Source organism: Homo sapiens, chromosome 3, assembly GCF_000001405.40.
Source record: "Homo sapiens chromosome 3, GRCh38.p14 Primary Assembly".
NCBI classification, from domain to species: Eukaryota; Metazoa; Chordata; class Mammalia; order Primates; family Hominidae; genus Homo; species Homo sapiens.
In genome coordinates, this window is record NC_000003.12 from 173,303,401 (window position 1) to 173,321,450 (window position 18,050).

The window sequence follows — 18,050 nt, forward strand, 5'->3', positions numbered from 1 at the left end:
TCAGTTAAAAGGGACTTGCATAGAGAGGAGAAAGAGGGAGGTAGATACACATATCACTGCCCTGAAGGGTATGATCTAGAGTAGGAAATGGGTAAAGACAAAGGAAGGAAGGAGAATCCAAAACTAATGAACTGTAAAAATATTTGATTGTATGAAACAAGATGATGATGGAAAAAAATAGAATAGGAAGGTTTCCTCCCTTTGAGAGACTGTTTCCAAGATTCTTCACCAGGAAGGAGGCTTTGTCATAGCCATGATGTTTGCTCCACAAGACATAGAGAGCAGCAGACAAAGAAGGTGGAAGCTCCAGGGAACCCTATAACTGATGTGTGCTGTTTTGAGAACAAAATACCTTCTCTTTGGAGTTCTGGCTTTAGAGGAAATTGATAGAACTAAAAGTACATTTGACATGTTCATTACTCAGGGAAATTAATCCATTATGGCAATTAGTGCACTCTTTTTGCACACTGAGGTCTAAATACCAACTGAAAGAAGTTATAAAGATGTGATGTTAATGAGTGTTGTGAGGTTGTCTTTTCTCAAAGAAAACTGAGTACATGAATTTAATAAAAATATTCAGCTCCCTCAAAAGTAGAAAGAATGTCTGAACAAGACCAGGCTTTTATCCCATCGAAAAAGGATCACATACAACCAAGTTTCACTAAACCTTTTAAAATGGCTATCATTTTTAATGCAGCAGACGTGGATAGCAGAACAGTATACTTTTGAAATGAGGATTAAGTCATCTCAATAAATTGTAAACCAAATATATAAAGTAATGTTTCAAATACATAAATTAGAATTTCATTATATAAAGTAGCATTTTATTTACAGAAAAATTTTAAAAACATTAAAATGTAAATGTGATCTTACATGTCAAGGTATATAAACTGTAAAGTAATACACATTGCAATATTTATCTTCCTAAAGTTTTACATACCATGTACCTACAGTGGGTCACCAGTCGGTGGCAATACATTTCTTTACTATGTCCAGAAATGAGTTGAGGGGGTAGATGATAACATTACATATAAATATACATTACATATATACATGTATGCAATGGAGATAAAAAAGACTTTACTAATTCAACTTTTTATAGGCAAAATATTAGAATAGAGTTATGTAAATTATACATTTACATATTGTAAGCAAATAGCAAATAGAGCATTCTCTCCTAGCATAAGGTTATGCTTAAAACATTAACATTTAAATTGCATGAATTTTAATAATGTCTCCGAACAATGTGTTTTCTGGCATTTATTCAGAAACTGAGTAATACACACTAAAACTTGTTCTGGTCTAAAGCTTTTTGAGGACTCTCTTGCCCTGTGTACTGATGGCTTCTGAAGTCCATCTGATAAAGGACCGAATAATATGCTAAAGTCAAACACTGAATATTAGCCCACTGTAATTTCTTAATTTTTTAAATTGAGTATAATACACATAGAGGAAGGTGCACATATAAATGCAGGGCTTAGTGAATTTTTGCAAATTTAATAAACCCATTCACAGATCAAATTGTACACAGATCAAATTGTACACAGATCAAACAATAGAAAATCACCAGCACCATAAAAATCCCATTCTTGCCTCCAGTCACTATGTCCCAACTCCAAAGGGTAACCCCTATCCTGACTTCTAACGACATGGTTTAGCTTTTCTTGGTTTTGCTTTTCCTTTTTATATATCTTATAGAACTAGAATTCCACAATGTATGTATTCTTTTGTGTTTGTTTTTTTTTTACTTAACATGATGGGAGTGAGAGTCATCCATAATATTACATTTAATTGTAGGCCATTCATCCTTATTGTTAAATTCTTTTGTGTGAACATATCATACTTTATCTGTCAACTATTGATGATCTTTTGTGTAATTTCCAGTTTGAAGCTGTTTTGAATAGTGCTGCTATGAACATTCTAGGACACATCTTTTGGTGAATATGAGTATGCATTTGTTTGTTCTATACCTCAGAGTGAAATTGCTGGGTCATAGGATATACCTTCAGCTTTAGTATAACAAATACTGCCAAACCGCTTTCCAAAGTGGTTGTGCTCCACCCTAATTAAAATATATATATATGTATTTATTTAAGAGACTGGGTTCTCACTATGTTGCCCAGGCTGTTCTCAAACCCCTGAGCTCAAATGGTCCTCCTGTCTTATCCTCCCTAAAGAATGGGATTACAGGTATGAGCCACGACTCCTGGCTCCACCTTCATTTTTTTTTTTTTTTTCTTTGAGACGGAGTCTCGGTCTGTCGTCCAGGTTGGAGTGCAGTGGTGCGATCTCGGCTCACTACAAGCTCCGCCTCCCGGGTTCACGCCATTCTCCTGCCTCGGCCTCCCAAAGTGTTGGGATTACAGGCGTGAGCCACCGCGCCCGGCCCACCTTCATTTTTAACCAACCTCCAGGTTATTATTATTCCAGGAGGTTTGTTACCTACATGGGCTTTTCTGATTTACCATATATCTGCTCAAACCTGAAATCATAGGCAAATTCTCAATTGTTTCAGACCTATTTCTTTGCAACCAATTATTTCAGACCAAACCATAGTCCTACAGAAAAAAGAAATTATGCAATCTAGTTTATGTAGCCCCAAATAAATAATTGTTGCCTCCTAATTTTGGTGTTGTTTCTTGTCCAAAACAATTGGAATGGGAATCTAGGGAAATGACTGTTGCAGCTGCCACTACTCTTAGTGTATATTACATTTTCTCAGTACTTTCACAAGAATTTCAGGTATTATTATCCTCATTTGAAGTGTGAGGAAACTGTCTCAGAGGGGTTAAGTGACTGCCCAGAGTAGAATAGCTAGTGAGGGGTGGTGCAGGGATCCAAACTACGTCTTTTCTGAGTCCAAAGCCTGGCATCTTTCACTCTGCTGAGCACCTCACACAGCACCGTGCCACCTAGTGACTTTTTCATGCTGTGTGGCTTAACTGGTCTCTCTGATACCTAGAGGGAGCTCACTGTGATTCAGTTTAGCCATGTTAATTTAGTGTCGTTGGTTTCTGATTGTTTTCCATTGACTTTCATAATGAAAACATTCAGTATAAAATATAATTTGAAATGTTACACAATCTTCTCTCCATATCAATTCATGCATAGGGATATGGTACTGTAGATGAAGACACAGAAACAGTGCTGTTCGATTTATTCTTTGTGTTTTTTGTAATGGTCATAATTTTGATTTAAATATTACAAGTACAAATGCTAATTCTGTGTCTTTGACACCTCTTCCTCTACTTTGAAGATATGAGCAAAGGCAGCTGCTATTCGTGACCATGCACTGAAGCTGCATATTGGTTGACAACTGGAGACATTAGTCACAAAAACCTTTCAGATTGCCATTCTATTTCTTCCCTCATAGTTTCAGCATTTTAATCAGAATGTACCATTTTACTCATACTGGCCATATTCCAAGTGGCCTGTATGTTTTAAATGTTTCTACTGTACATTGGTTCCACTTCATCTCATCATACAGCTACTGTCCAAATGTCCATTGTCTGCACACATCAAACCTAGTGGAGTTTGTTGAAGCAAATAACATGAGTAGTCTCCAATGTCAATACTCTGGCTTCATTCCATGACCTCTCAGTTGGTGATCCTCTCTTGCTATTTAGTGCTAATTATGTCTTTAAATGATGTTGGTGAGTTGTTCAAAGAATTAGATGTGATTAATATGAAAGGTTCAAATCTCTCATGGACGTAGAGTACATCACACAGTATCTTCATTCTACATACCTTTACTTTGGTCTGAAATAGTTGCTTTCACTTTTTCATCTTTATCATAATTAAGAAATTATGCTGAATGGCCACATTTGTGCCAAGAATGAATTGAATTAATTCACTGTGCTGTCAACCCCCCTAAAGAACAAATCTTTGCCCTTGAAAAGGTATCTATTGAGCACCATAGTGTTCTGTCCTTGGCCCTATGCAAGTCACTATTGTCAGCAATGTTTAGATAAAAGGATTGCTTATTAAATTTTCATGATACTGGGAAGTGTAGTAAATTTTAGTGTTTCAGAATTAAGACTTAAAATTATTCCAGGAGACTAGAATACTTCACCAAAGCACATGGAATAATATTTAAAACAGAATCAAGGAGAGTAATGAATTTAAACATAAAGGATTAATTTTACCTGTAGAAGATATGAACAACTGCCCTGAAAGAAATTCCTATAAAACTTTGGAGGATTTAGTTTTCTTGGTGTTAAGTATCAGTTAACAATATGATACAAGTATAATTCCTCTGAATTTTATTTACTGTTATCAAGATTTACCATGTATCTGGTATTATAATAGGCAATTTTGCATGTCATCTGCAGAAGATAAATAAAAACATTTCGGGTGGTAAATCCTTAAACTTTGTTTAAAACTCTGAGCATAACACAGAAGCAATTAATTGAAGGTTTTTTTTATTTAGAGAGGTAAATAAATGTATCCTAGGGACATTTCTTTCTGAGCATCTAAATTAATATAAGAATAAAATAAAGAAATATGTGTTCTTAATATTTTCATTGACTACACCCTCTTAAATTTAATTTGTTGCAGCCATACTTTTAGCAGCCTTAATTTACGTTAGCATTTTCTGACATCTAATTTGCCAATGGTTTATATTATTGAAGAAATATTCCTATTTTATACTTAATTACTAGGTTGCTACAGGTACGTTCAGGGTAAGTCTTTCCTCAAAAAAGTTTTTTTTGTTGCTGCTGTTGTTTTTTTTTAATACACAAGCTGTTTGCCAACTGTGTGATCAAAACTCCAGGGTTATATGCTGAAAAGAATAAAAGAGATGATTCTAACCAAGAAATGTTGTTAATGGTTATTTCTCATTGGCTCCTTCATCTTTAAAAGAAGCATCATAACTTAAAGTGAAGTATAACTGCTCCTGATGAATGTGAGCATGAGATTGCATCAAAATATACTCCCTAAGATAGGTATAAATAAATTTTCCATGGCAAACTGAAGAGACTCATTCAAATGTAGCTGAGACTACTCTCAATGAGGAAAATTGTAGAAGTGATTTTAATCCTGGGTCTCAGATTATACATGGTGAGTCTCAGGGAGGCTTAAATTCATGGATGTTTCTGTGCCATTTCTGAACATGATTAAAGGTTAGTTACTTAAGTGCCGCATAACAATATTAGTACTGTTCTGATCTCCATTCACATGTATGAATCCATCAAAACACAAAATGAGTCTTTCCAGTGGTGTATTTAAGCATTTGATCCAGTGGTATATTTAAGCATTTGAGTGAAATGGTGTTGGGATGATTATTAAATGTGAAAAAGAATGAATTCTTAGCATGAGAAAATTAATAATCAGTAAATATTTTAAGGCGTGTCTTGTCCTCTTATTCAAGGCAATGGGATTTTTGTATGCACTTTACGAACAGTAAGGGGATGGTCCTTAGGGTCTAGTAAATGTGAGCCATTTTTGGAGAGTTTCTAAGAAGCTTTCACAAAGCAACCAAAATTATTCAAAATTGATTTTCTGCACTGTAGCATGGACATCTATGAGAATAAGACTGGAAATAAATTTTTATTGAGTTATATCCCTCTTGAATATTTTCAAATTACATAGAGTAACTGTATTTTCCTGCTGGACTGTATAGATAAGAAGGGTCACAATTCCCATCTCTTTGGAATCTACAATGAGCTTCTATAAAGGAATAGCAAGTGGAAGTTAAAGAGACCAGGTAGCCTGAGAGTCTAGGTCAGAGATTGAGTCTACCTTTACTTCAGGAGACAAGAGCAAACGATGGCTACATACTGAAGTGGGTTTGAAAATATGCTGTGACAAGGCAGTTCGAGTTGGGAAACCATGATAACAGAAGCAGTTTGTGAGATCCTAGGCACATATTGGACATTTAAAAATACTGAGAACATAGCATTCTCCTGGGAGCATTCTGCTTTCTCTTACAAAAAAAGCGTACATTTCTTTTTTTTCTCCTCCTACATGAGCTGCACATTAAAAACAAATCTATATACATTAGGAAATTCTACCTGAAATGCTCACTTTAAATTTTAAAATTTTTGTTGTTCTTGTTGTTACTTTTTCTTTCTTCAAATTTAAGTCTCTGAGTTCCTTTGTAAATAAATCTCAGATCAGAAAACAATGATATTTTCTTTCAGGTAGACTTTGACCTATCTTTTGGCCCTCTTTTGATTTGGAAAATAATTTTCCTACAAAATTTATCATATTGAGATTTTTTGGAGTTATGTGTTAAATTGAACCTTTTTCACGGTTACTCACATTCCTTATTATGAAAACAAATAGCTTTACTTTCTCTTAGCTAAATGTACATTTGAACATCATAGAATCAAGGCCCCTCAGACCTGGAAGGAACATTAAACATTATATAACTCAATTACTCTCATATTACTAAATCTGTTGCTTTTCTGCTTGATAGCTGTGTTGTCTGAATCAATATTTCAGTGAATGGGAACATATTAACTTTTGAGATGGTTTATTCTTTCTTTGAAGAGTCTGACCTTTCAGAAAGTTTTTATTATTGAACAAAATCTCTCTCTAAAAAAAAAAAAATGGGAGCCATAAAGCAAGTGCGGTTTCTTTTTCCTTCTCTTCAATTGTTTGCACTTTCCCATCACGACCTTCCACTTGCCTGTTGAATCTTTTCTTCCCTATCTCTTTCTAGCATTTACAAGTCATTCCACTGAATATTATTTTGAATTCCTTTATCATCTTGGTTGCTCTCCTCTGATCATGCTTATTGATAAATATATTATGTCAAGTGTGGCTTCTATATCCGATCACCATTGTTCAGGAGTATTTTGTCCAGAGCAAACAAAAAGAAACTGCCACTTTTCTGGTTCTATTAGTATAGCCTGGTATACTATAAGACTTTTTGATGGGCATATTTATTGCTGCCGTATATCAAGCTTGCTACTTGCTAACCACCCCGCAACTCCCACCCCTGGCCTTTATTATTGCTGTTCTGAAGGCACAGCTCTTATCCTCTGCTTGTGAGGTGTTTAAGCAAAAATCTGCCACAAATTGCTATACAACAGGCAATTTGTGGCTACCAAACAATCTTTTTTCCCCCTACTTTAGTGTAGTTACTCTTACAAGTCATTCTGTTCATATTTAAGGTTGGAAGCTCAGAAAAAATATTTGATTTTTAATTTGTTGCTCTTTCAATTTTTACTTCTCAGATTTTGGTTTTCTGTGGTGGGTTAGAAAATGTTAAAGAAAAGCCAAAAGGATTATTTGAAATAGAAAGAAAATACACTATTCATTTGAAAGAGCACCTTTAGCAAGGTATATACGTCTTGTCTGGACTAAAATTATAGCTTCTTTGACATTTCTATCAGGTACAAGTTTTGAGGAACTGTTACTCCTTTTATTTTGTCTTTACTTGAAGATTCAGGCAAAGACGGCCTTAAAAATAATGACTGTCATAGGGCAAAGGCAACTTTTGCAGTTTTAGTACTAGTACTAGCACTAGTTTAGTACTACTTCTCTTTCATTCTGGGTTCTAACTGGCTGAAAAATCTGTGATTTTTTTATTTGTTTATGTTTGCTCTTTTTATAATTAAAGAGCTCTCAATCAAATCCTTTTAACTTTCTCTTTTATTTGTTCTATTCATTGTCTAAGCTGCAAACTGAGGATAATTTTCATGTTCATGTATGCTGATTTGGTCTTTATATGTATAATCAAAATAAAATTAATTAATATTTTAAAAGTAAGTGGGACAATCAAGTGATAGGAATTACTTTTGATGCTTCCATCCTTCCAAAATTTTAATTTTGGGGGTAGTTTTAGCATCTGAACTTATGTAAAACATTGCCTGTATTGACTTAGAAATACAAGACCCATTCAACATAAAGCACAGTTCAAATGACGTAGTGATTGCTCTGGCCCACTGGAATCAACAGCAGCTGGCAACAAATATAGTGCATATTAATTATTACTATGAAGGGCAGAGCTGAGAGAAAAACTGGGTAAAGAGCATGTATTTATGAAGACAAAGTTAAAAAGTAAAAATAATAGTCAGATGTAAGAGAAGTTTTCTATTATGTGTAATATATACATATCATTCCTTAAAGCCACATATAAGTAATAAAGAGCATCATTAATAATCCTGAAGTACACTTTTATATCTCTATGTATAATATACCTAGTGGACATCTCTGAGATACCCAATTATTATGTGCCATACTAACACATTTTCTCTTAAACTAGGTATTTACTCTTTTATCCAATAAGAATTGTTTCAGCACAAAATGGGTACTTTTGGCAACTCAAAAGACATCTAAATTAGTTTTGAAAACAAGAGTAAATATAGTCACAACATATCAGCATTTTAACCTCAATGTATACTATTCTAATTATTTAATAGAAATTAATGACAGCACTCATCTTTTGAGTAAAATATTGCTTTGTTTTGACAACACAGGGATTTTGCATTAGGTGTAAGACATCCTAAATCCATTAAATTTTGACAAGATCAACTATAGTGACCAGAAAAGGAGAGGGAGGGAGATTTAAATAGCAGCAAGACTTAACATTTCACTCAGTGAAAGTAAGCTCTGAGGTTTTACTCCATTGTAGCTCAAAGATAGGTCATATTTAAGTGTTGCCGTACATAAGTACGTAGTTTTCAAAAGCCTGTTAATACATTTTTCGTTTTTTGTTGTTATAGGCAAAAATGTAAGGCAGTAGAGCACTTCCATTTTCCCTATAAGATTATCTCATACTTACATAGCACTGTGTGCTAAATGCTGTTTTCAGATTTAAGTATTTTTATTGTCATCTTCTTTTCAAGGTGAAAAATCTGATGTATAGAAGGTCACAGCGTTCATATGAAAGTTGACCATAAGCAACTTGGCTCTAAAATCTTCTATCTTAACCACTATGCTCACACAATACACAAATAGGTTCACATGTACACTTATACATAAAAATAAAAATAAAAATGGACCATGTGTTCCTGATCTTTGTATCCACATAACTCCTACAGTAGGGCTTTGCATATTTTGAGCTCAGTAAGGACATGGGTTGCTTATCAATAACTGATTATAATAATCAACATTATTTTTTATCTCATTTTTCCTGACTCCAAATTTATGAAATATATTTTAAGGTCACAATATAATTTATTGACCCAACTGGAACACTTTTGAGAGAAAAAGTGGGTGTTATTTAAAATTATATTAGGACAACAAGGAAAAACAAGGACCGTCCCAGGTCAGCCAGGATTGAGGGTCAGCCCATGTATGTGAGGGTAGGAAGCTAAGCTCAAAAGTTTGTCCAAATTGAAAAAGTTGAATAGGTTCTCTGCCTGCAAAGACTATGCTTTTGTAATTTTATAATGTATAATCAAATAATTATAACACTTTAGAAACTGCATCATTATCTATTAGTATTGCAAACCACCCAAAACTTAGTGGCTTCACAACACGTATTCATTTATTTTAGAATTTTGCTCAAATTATTTTTTTGTTTGTTTTTTTTGTTTGAGACAGAGTCTCACTCTGTCACCCAGGCTGGAGTGCAGTGGCATGATCTCGGCTAATTGCAGCCTCTGCCTCCCGGGTTCAAGCGATTCTGCGCCTCAGCCTCCTGAGTAGCTGGGATTATAGGCCCACACTACCGCATGTGGCTAATTTTTGTATTTTTAGTAGAGATGAGGTTTCACCATGTTGGCCAGGCTGGTCTCGAACTCTGACCTCAGGTGATCTGCCTGCCTCGACCTCCCAAAGTGCTGGGAGTACAGGCATGATCCATCATGCCCGGCCTTGCTCAAGTTCTTGTAGTGTGATCTGGGCTTGGCTAATCTCATTTGAGTTTACCCATGTGCCTGCACTTAGCAGGCTGGACTAGAAGAAACTGGATGATCCCATATGATCTAACCAAAAACAGATGGTCTGGTGATGGGCTGGCTGTTGACTAGTACAATGATTGTGGGGGTGATTGGCTGACATGTCTGTCACCCTCCAGCAGGCTTCCTTGTCAGGTTTCCAAGTGCAGCAGAAGAAGAGCAGCCTAAATGTGCAAGCGCTTTTCATGTCTGATTATATTGTTTGCTAATTGTCCCACTGGCCAAAGCAGCATACATAGGTAAGCCTATAGTCAATGAGGAAAGAGCTAGCCCCAGGCATGAATACAGGAGGACTTGGCTTGAAAAACTGCTGTATTTTCACTTCAAATATGTCTATCACTCAGTAACTAGTGTGGCACTTTATGGTGTTGAGAACTCAGAATTAGCTTGAGTGGCTCTACCACGTGTGGCCTTAACCTCATGCTTCAAGGCATCAGCATCTGCTCCACTCAATGGGTAGAAACAAAAGTAACGGGAGGCACATGGTACAATTGCATTGTCTCTTAAGGAATATCCCCAAAAGCTCTTAAAAGATACATTTTCTCACATTCTCATCGCATCACATCTCTTCTCCTCCTATTAGCCAAATATAGTCACAGCACCCCAACTAATTGCAATGGAGGCTGAGAAATGCAGTTTTATTCGAAGTAGCCATGTGCCTAGCTAAATATTCTGTTAATATGGAGATATGAAATGGATATTGGGAAGTGACAAGGACACTCTGCTACATTTGGCTCCTGTGATTCATATATATGCACCAATATAGGAAAATTACATGTTTATATATATAGTACATTATAAAATAATACATTTTTTCCTCAAACATTGCAAACCTTCTCTCTTTCAAAAAATGGTCAGAAGCCAGTTAAAATTTACTAAGCACTTTAATGAAATGCTTGAGGAAACAATAATCACATTTAGAAACAGACACTTCCATTTGTTTAAGACCAGAAACTGATTTATGATTCCTGTTTTATGTTTTGAGAATTCTAGGTAGCATCTGCATTCCGGTGGTTGAGGACATTCTTTCAGATTTTAGCATCACTTAGTTACCCAGAGCACCATGCATGTTATCAGTCTTAAGCGGAGAAAGAGAGATTTTCTTCAAGTTAGGAATAAATAAAAATCTAAAAACTTGTTTATTCATCCAAGGTCATTTTACCGAGACAGTGGCAATCTGTTGTTATCTAGTTGAAAACCATTTATATCTGTGATTTGTGTCATATAAGCAACATAGAGAATCCAAGATGAGTCATATCAATGTTCTCATATGTACTGTGGCCTGATATAACTGAGTTTTACAGTAACACTTTGACAGTGTGAATTTTGAAAAGCATCTTTTACAAAAAAGTCTCAAAGCACTTTACATTTGAAACATAAAAGCTCAAAAGAAAAAAGTTAGAAATATGAAGCAGTAGGAAGCGTAGATTAATTTGGGAGTAATTACTTCAATTATTTCTAATAAAATCATTTTGTATCAAGTGAAAATAGTTTTAAGTTTTAAATATTCATTGAGGATTAAGAGTGGCAGGCTCAAGCCTTTATCTTTCCTTAAAAAATGAACCCCATTATTCTATATTGAGTTAATAGACTTTTATAGTTTTTTTTAAGATAAAGTATATAATTGCTTAGACTAATCAAGAGGGACAGCCAAATCTATTTATCTTAAGTGCAGTCACATTGCAATAACCAAAAACTAAGACTATGGATGGCAAATTCCTTCCACTAGTCAAAAATTTTGTATGTGATTGTAATCCAATATTTTTACCTTTATTGTGATACTTTCTACCTTCATTTGCTTGGGAATGATCCTTGGACTTATTGTGGTTAAGAATACAGACTCTGGAGCCAATTTCAAACCCCAACTCAAAAATTATTAAGCTGTGTAACCTAGGGCAAGTCACTTAAACTTTCTGTGCCTCAATTTTAATCTCTATACAATGCAAATAACAATACCTGCCAGTTGTTTTGTTGTTGAGATCAATTAAGTTAATATAATTAAAGAACATAGAACAATGTCTGTCACATAGTAAGTGTTATTTGAGTTTAGCAGTTGTTGCAATTATCTCTAAGGTTTCTTCCTGCTCTAATGTTTCTTCCTGCTCTAATGTTTCAAGATTCTATTATCTTCTCTATGATACTGTTTATATGGACATATAAACTGTCAATGGATTCTTTATATTACAGTAAATTGTATAAGCATCAATGTCATGCTGCAGATAACGTAACAGCTTATGATTAGTAACATGCTATATACAGTAAGAAATTAGTTTTAATGGAGCACCTTCTGGAAAGGGTGCCACTTAACTGAAAAGCCTGTTTTGAACTTGCAATAGTCAGGCGGAACCACATGTCCAGGTAACTTTCTCTAGCGGGTTTGCCACTTTTTCTCAACTTCAAATATGCATGTGTGTGGGGGTGGTGGGGGTTGGTGAGATGATGGGTGTGTATGTTGTTCAATGATATGTAGATTAAAATGTCTAATTCCTCCTCAATGAGGAAGAACTGGCAAACATCCTTAGCCACAAGAGAACAGGAGAACTGTTTCTTCTGGAACAGTCCAGGTGTATTTCTCTCTTGGAGAGTTTTCTCTTTGTAAGCAGTTCAGTTTCTAGTAATAACTTTCTATTGATTCCCAAAGTATCCTTGTGCAAGTGAAAGTTGAGTATCTATGTAATTGTAGCACAATTTAATCCTAAATATAAAAAATTATTAGCTACTCATTCCAACATTATTCAGTGCTAAAAATTTAATGCAGAGATTTTTATTAATTTTGTTTCTGTTATTCTGAATATTTCTATATTAAAGAAGGCTTTTTTTTTAACTTAATGTGCCCTCTAAAGTATTGGATAAACACTGTTATTCTCGTGGTTAGAATATCTGATTGCAGAATATGTTAATTCTTAACTCTGTCTCTCATATAGTCTTGAATTCGAAACATGCAAATGTATTACTTACTCAAAAAATTTTTAATCAATAATTAAAAAATACAAAAATAAAAAGATATTTTAAAAAGGCCTTAATGTATAAGGCAGTTTTAAGAAAGTATAAATATTAAATGAAGTTTTAACAAAAACCTCTCCCTGCACTGAGCTTTATTTTTAATTGTTTTTACTCTCATGTAGTCCATATTATCTTCAGCATGTTCCCAAATTAAAAACAATTAAATTCCAGTGTGTATGATAAATTTTCTCCACTTTTAGAAAATATTATCTTATAAATCAACTGGGTACTCAGGCTACAGAGTAGAAACATGCCTTTATCTTCCATTCAATGCTAGCAAAATTTGAAGGATGCTAAATTCCCTCACAGTGAAAAATAGATCTCCATGAGGCTGACACAATGTTTGAAATTTCCACATTATCATTGTTCCTTCAGGGCTTTGTGGAGACATGCATTTTAATTAAGTTAAGACATTATATTTCCAGGGTAAATCATTTGCTACCCAAACACAATAGCATGTATTTTTCCATCGTATTAAAACGCATTAAGACACAGCAGAACCTTGAGGAAATGACATGAAATAGAAAACAAGTGTGTATTTGAAAAATGAAGATGTAGAGAATGGTCAGATTCATGAGAGTTGCCAGGTTCCAGTGGGCATTTCTGGACACAAACATCACAGGGTTTCAGGAGTCTCTGGTGGTTTCTCATAAACTCTCCACCATATTATTTTGGTGGGAACTTTTGTTTTGTTTTCCCTGTTTTTTGTTTCGTTTTGTTCCATTTAATAATCAGCACTCTAGGACAAGAGCCACTACACTGGATGCAACCTTGTTTTGCCTGTACTTTGGTAAGCCATAATCTCAAATTGACATTCTATCCTAGTACTGCTGCGGAAACTTGCTTTTGCCACATATATCTACAAATTTCCATAGACTCTTTACTAAAACAAAAAACAAAAACTGCAGGCAAGATGGTAATAACACAGCAATTTATGAAACCTTAAGATAAATGGAAAATAAATCTGTTATTGTTTTTAAAATGAATATGAAAGTAATAGAGACTCCCATTTTTGTCATATATTTCATTAAATATTCTGAAAACCTCCCCCAATTTGAAACAAATAAAATAAAATAAAGCTATAAAACACCTAAGGGCTCAAGAAATTATGGAACAACAAAAGAAAACAAAACAAATTGCACACACACACACACACACACACACACAAACAGCTGAATTTGTGTATACGTATTTGTGTATACGTATTTGTGTATATGTACCACATAATAACTGAACAGCTGAAATCCAGAGGAATAAATTGATTCTGGAGTGGCAAAACTCCTGGGAGCATTTTGTAACCTCTAAAGCAAGAGGTTTTCATTTTACAAACTATGCAGAATAGGACACAAGTCTTTTGTTTTAAGTAAAGTGACAGTTGGAGCTAACTTATCTGTATAAAGTGGAATTTTGATGCATTTCAACCTCAGTAAAAGGGTCGAATAGCAAAATCTAACTCACCAACAAAAAAGACAAGAAAAATTTTCTATCTTTCCTTGAGGTCTACGTAAAAAAAACAAAAATTGTCTTGAGGAATGTTAACTACAGGCCAGCTTTTAATGTTCACACAGGTTTGAGATTCAACATTATATTATCTACATCTTACATTTTCAGACTCAGAAAATTCCAAACTGAGAAATTAACAGGAAACAATGCCATACTATGGCATTCTGGAAAACTGGGCATAATATAACAAATTCTCTCTGGAGAAATCACTAAGCTCAATGGGTTTTATCCCATGAATGTAAGGGCAATTCAATTTTTGAAAATCAATCAAGATAACTCACTATCTTGAGAAAACATTATGATCATATTAATTGATGCAGAAAATTCATTTGACAAATTCCAACATTCCTTCATAATTACACTCTTTGAAAACCGAGACTGGAAAGATACTCTCTAAGCGTCATAAAGGGCATGTACAAAAATACCCTAAAGCTAACAAAATATCTGATGATGAAACACTAAACGCTTTTCCCTTAAGATCACTTAGTGCTATTTTGCTTACAGAAGAAGACAAGGATATCCATTTTCTCCACTCCTGTTCCAGCCAGTGCAATAAGAAAAGAGAAAGAAAGAAATAGCATATGTATTGGAAAAAAATAAAGTCTCCCTATTAGCAAACAAGAAGTTTGTACATTTATAGAATTCCAAGGAGACTGCAAAAACAAAACTCCCACTACTACTAAGTGAGTTTTTAATGTCACAAGATACAGAATAAACACATAAAATCAATTATAATTCTTCTTTTTCCAGCTTTTATGTTAGATTTAGGGGCACACATGCAGGTTTGTTAAACTGGCATATCGTATAATGCTGAGGTTTGGAGTGTGATTGATCCCATCACCTAGGCACTGAGCATAGGACACAATAGGTGGTTTCTCAACCCTTAAACCTGCTCTCTCCCTTCCTTCTGTAATAGTTCCCAGTGCCAATTGTTCCCATCATTGTGTACCCAATGTTTAGTTCACACTTACAAGTGAGAACATGCAGTATTTGGTTTTCTGTTCCTGAATTAATTCACTTAGGATAATGATTTGGCTTCCTGCTGCATCCATGTTGCTGCAAAGGACCAAATTTCATTCTTTTTTATGGATGTGTGGTATTCCATGGTGTATTTGTCTATATGTACCACACAAATAGCTGAAATCCAGAGGAATAAATTGATTCCGTACCACATATTCGTTATCCATTTTCCCATGGATGGTCACCCAGGTTGATTACATGACTTTGCTATTGTGAATAGTGCTGCAATGAACATGAGAGTGCCCATGTCTTTTTGGTAGAATAACTTATTTTCTTTTGGGTATATACCTGACAATGTGTGGGTTCCATGAAAAATCTGCATGTTATAATTCTTCTTTCTAGCAATGAACAATAGAAAACAAATTTTTAGGCTGGGCGTGGTGGCTCACATTTGTAATCCCACCACTTCAGGAGGCCAAGATGGGAGAGTTCAAGACTAGCCTGACCAACATGACAAAACCTGTCTCTACCAAAAATACAAAAATTAGCCGGGCCTGGTGGCACATGCCTGTAATCCCAGCTACTCTGGTGACTGACGCAGGAGAATCACTTGAACCTGGGAGGTGGAGGTTGCAGCAAGCTGAGATCACGCCACTGTATTCCAGCTTGGGTGACAGAGTGAGACTCTGCCTCAAAATAAATAAATAAATAAATTTTAAAAATATGTATAAATAAATAATAAAACACAATTTACAATAGCTCCCCTCAAAAGGATAACTTTAGCTAAGTATATAGTCAACATCTAGAGGATTTGCATGCTGAAAATTATAAAATGCTGAGGACGGAAATAAAATACCTAAATAAATGAGAAGACATAATTTTCATGGATTAGGAGACACGGCACAGTAAAGATATCAATGTTTTTGGATATAATTAGGAGCAGATTAGATGCTACAGAAGAAGATACTGACTTGAAGATATAGTAATACAATCAATCCAAAATGAAGAAGAAAAAACAAAGACTGCAAAAGAATGATTGGAATCTGAGTAATCAGTGAAGAAACATAAAGTGACAGACACGTAACTGAAATTCTAGAACAGAAGAAAAATTGTGGGAATGGAAAAAATATTTGAAAAAGTTAGATCTGGAAAAAAAGATGAGAACAAGATGTACCCATGAATCCACACTCACAAAATCTATGTCAGAATAGATCATAATCAAATGGATGACTACTAGTAATAAAGAAAATTATTTATAGCAACTAGATGAGAAAAGGCACATTACATGCAAAGAACCAAAAATGAGAATGACTGTAGATTTCTCTTCAGAAACTATGCATGTCAAGAAACAAAAGAATAACATATTTAAAGTGCTAAAAGTGGAGAAATACTTAGAATTTTTACCAGAGAAAATGTATTTCAAAAACAAGAGTGAATTAAATTTTTTTTTCAGCAAAACACTGTGTGAGAATTTACTGCAATATGCCCTCACTACAAGAAATGTTGAAAGAGTTCCTCATAATACCAGAAGGAAACTTGGATGTACATACAGGAATGAAGGAAAACTTTTTGTATTTTAAAATTCCTATAAAATCTAATTGACTAAAGCAAAAACATGAATAATATTATGGTCTTCATAACATATGTAGAAGTAAAATGTATTATATTACATGTGAAATGTTATAATATTATTTGAAGGTAGGTTTTGCTAAGCTCAAGATATATATTGTAAGCCCTCAAGAAAACCTTAAGAGAATAATAAAAGGAGTCTTGGCCAAAGAGCCAATAGTAGAGATAAAATGGGATGTTGAAAAATATTCAATCCAAAAGATAAAAAGAGGATTAGAGAACTATGGAACAAATAGAAAACAAGTGTCAAAATAGTAGATTTAAACCTAACCATGTCAATGATGACATTAAATGTAAACAGTCTTAACACACCAATTAAAAGATTGAGATTATCAGACTGGAAAGAACACAAATCAATTATTTGTAGTCTGATAAATTAATTTCATATATAAAGAAACAAATATATTCAAAGAAAAATGATGTAACAATATGTACTATGAAAATATCAAGCATATGAAAAGATAGATTGACTATATTACATCACAAAGCTGACTTCAAAACAAAATATGTTACTAAGGATAAAGAGGGAACATAAATGTTCATAGCAGAATTATTTATAATAACTGAAAACAGCAAATATCATAAATGTTCATCAACAGTGAAATGGATTAAAAATTTTGGTATACCTATACAATGTATCAATACAACAAAAAGTAACAAGTTACTGATGCTGGCAAAAACATGTATGTATCTCATAAATATACTTAGATAAAAATGTCAGATACAAAAAAAGTAGACATGGTATAATTCCATCTATATAAAACTCTAAAAACATCAAATACACTATATTGTGACAGAAAGCAAATTAGTGGTTTCTTGGGTCCAGGGATTAGAGCAGGGAGGGAATTGACTGAAAAACGCACAAAGAAACTTTTACAAGGTGATGGAAATGTTCTAACATCTTGATTTTGGCGATAATTGCATGAGTGTATACCTTCCACATGTACATTTAAAAGGGACTTATTTTATTGCATCTAAACCATGGTTATATAAGTTCATTAAAAATGAATGAATTAATTATTATAGGAGTGAATAAAAAACCTGAAGCAGTAAAATTTTTGAGGTGTATAATTGAAAACAATTTCTTTTCTTTTTCTTTTT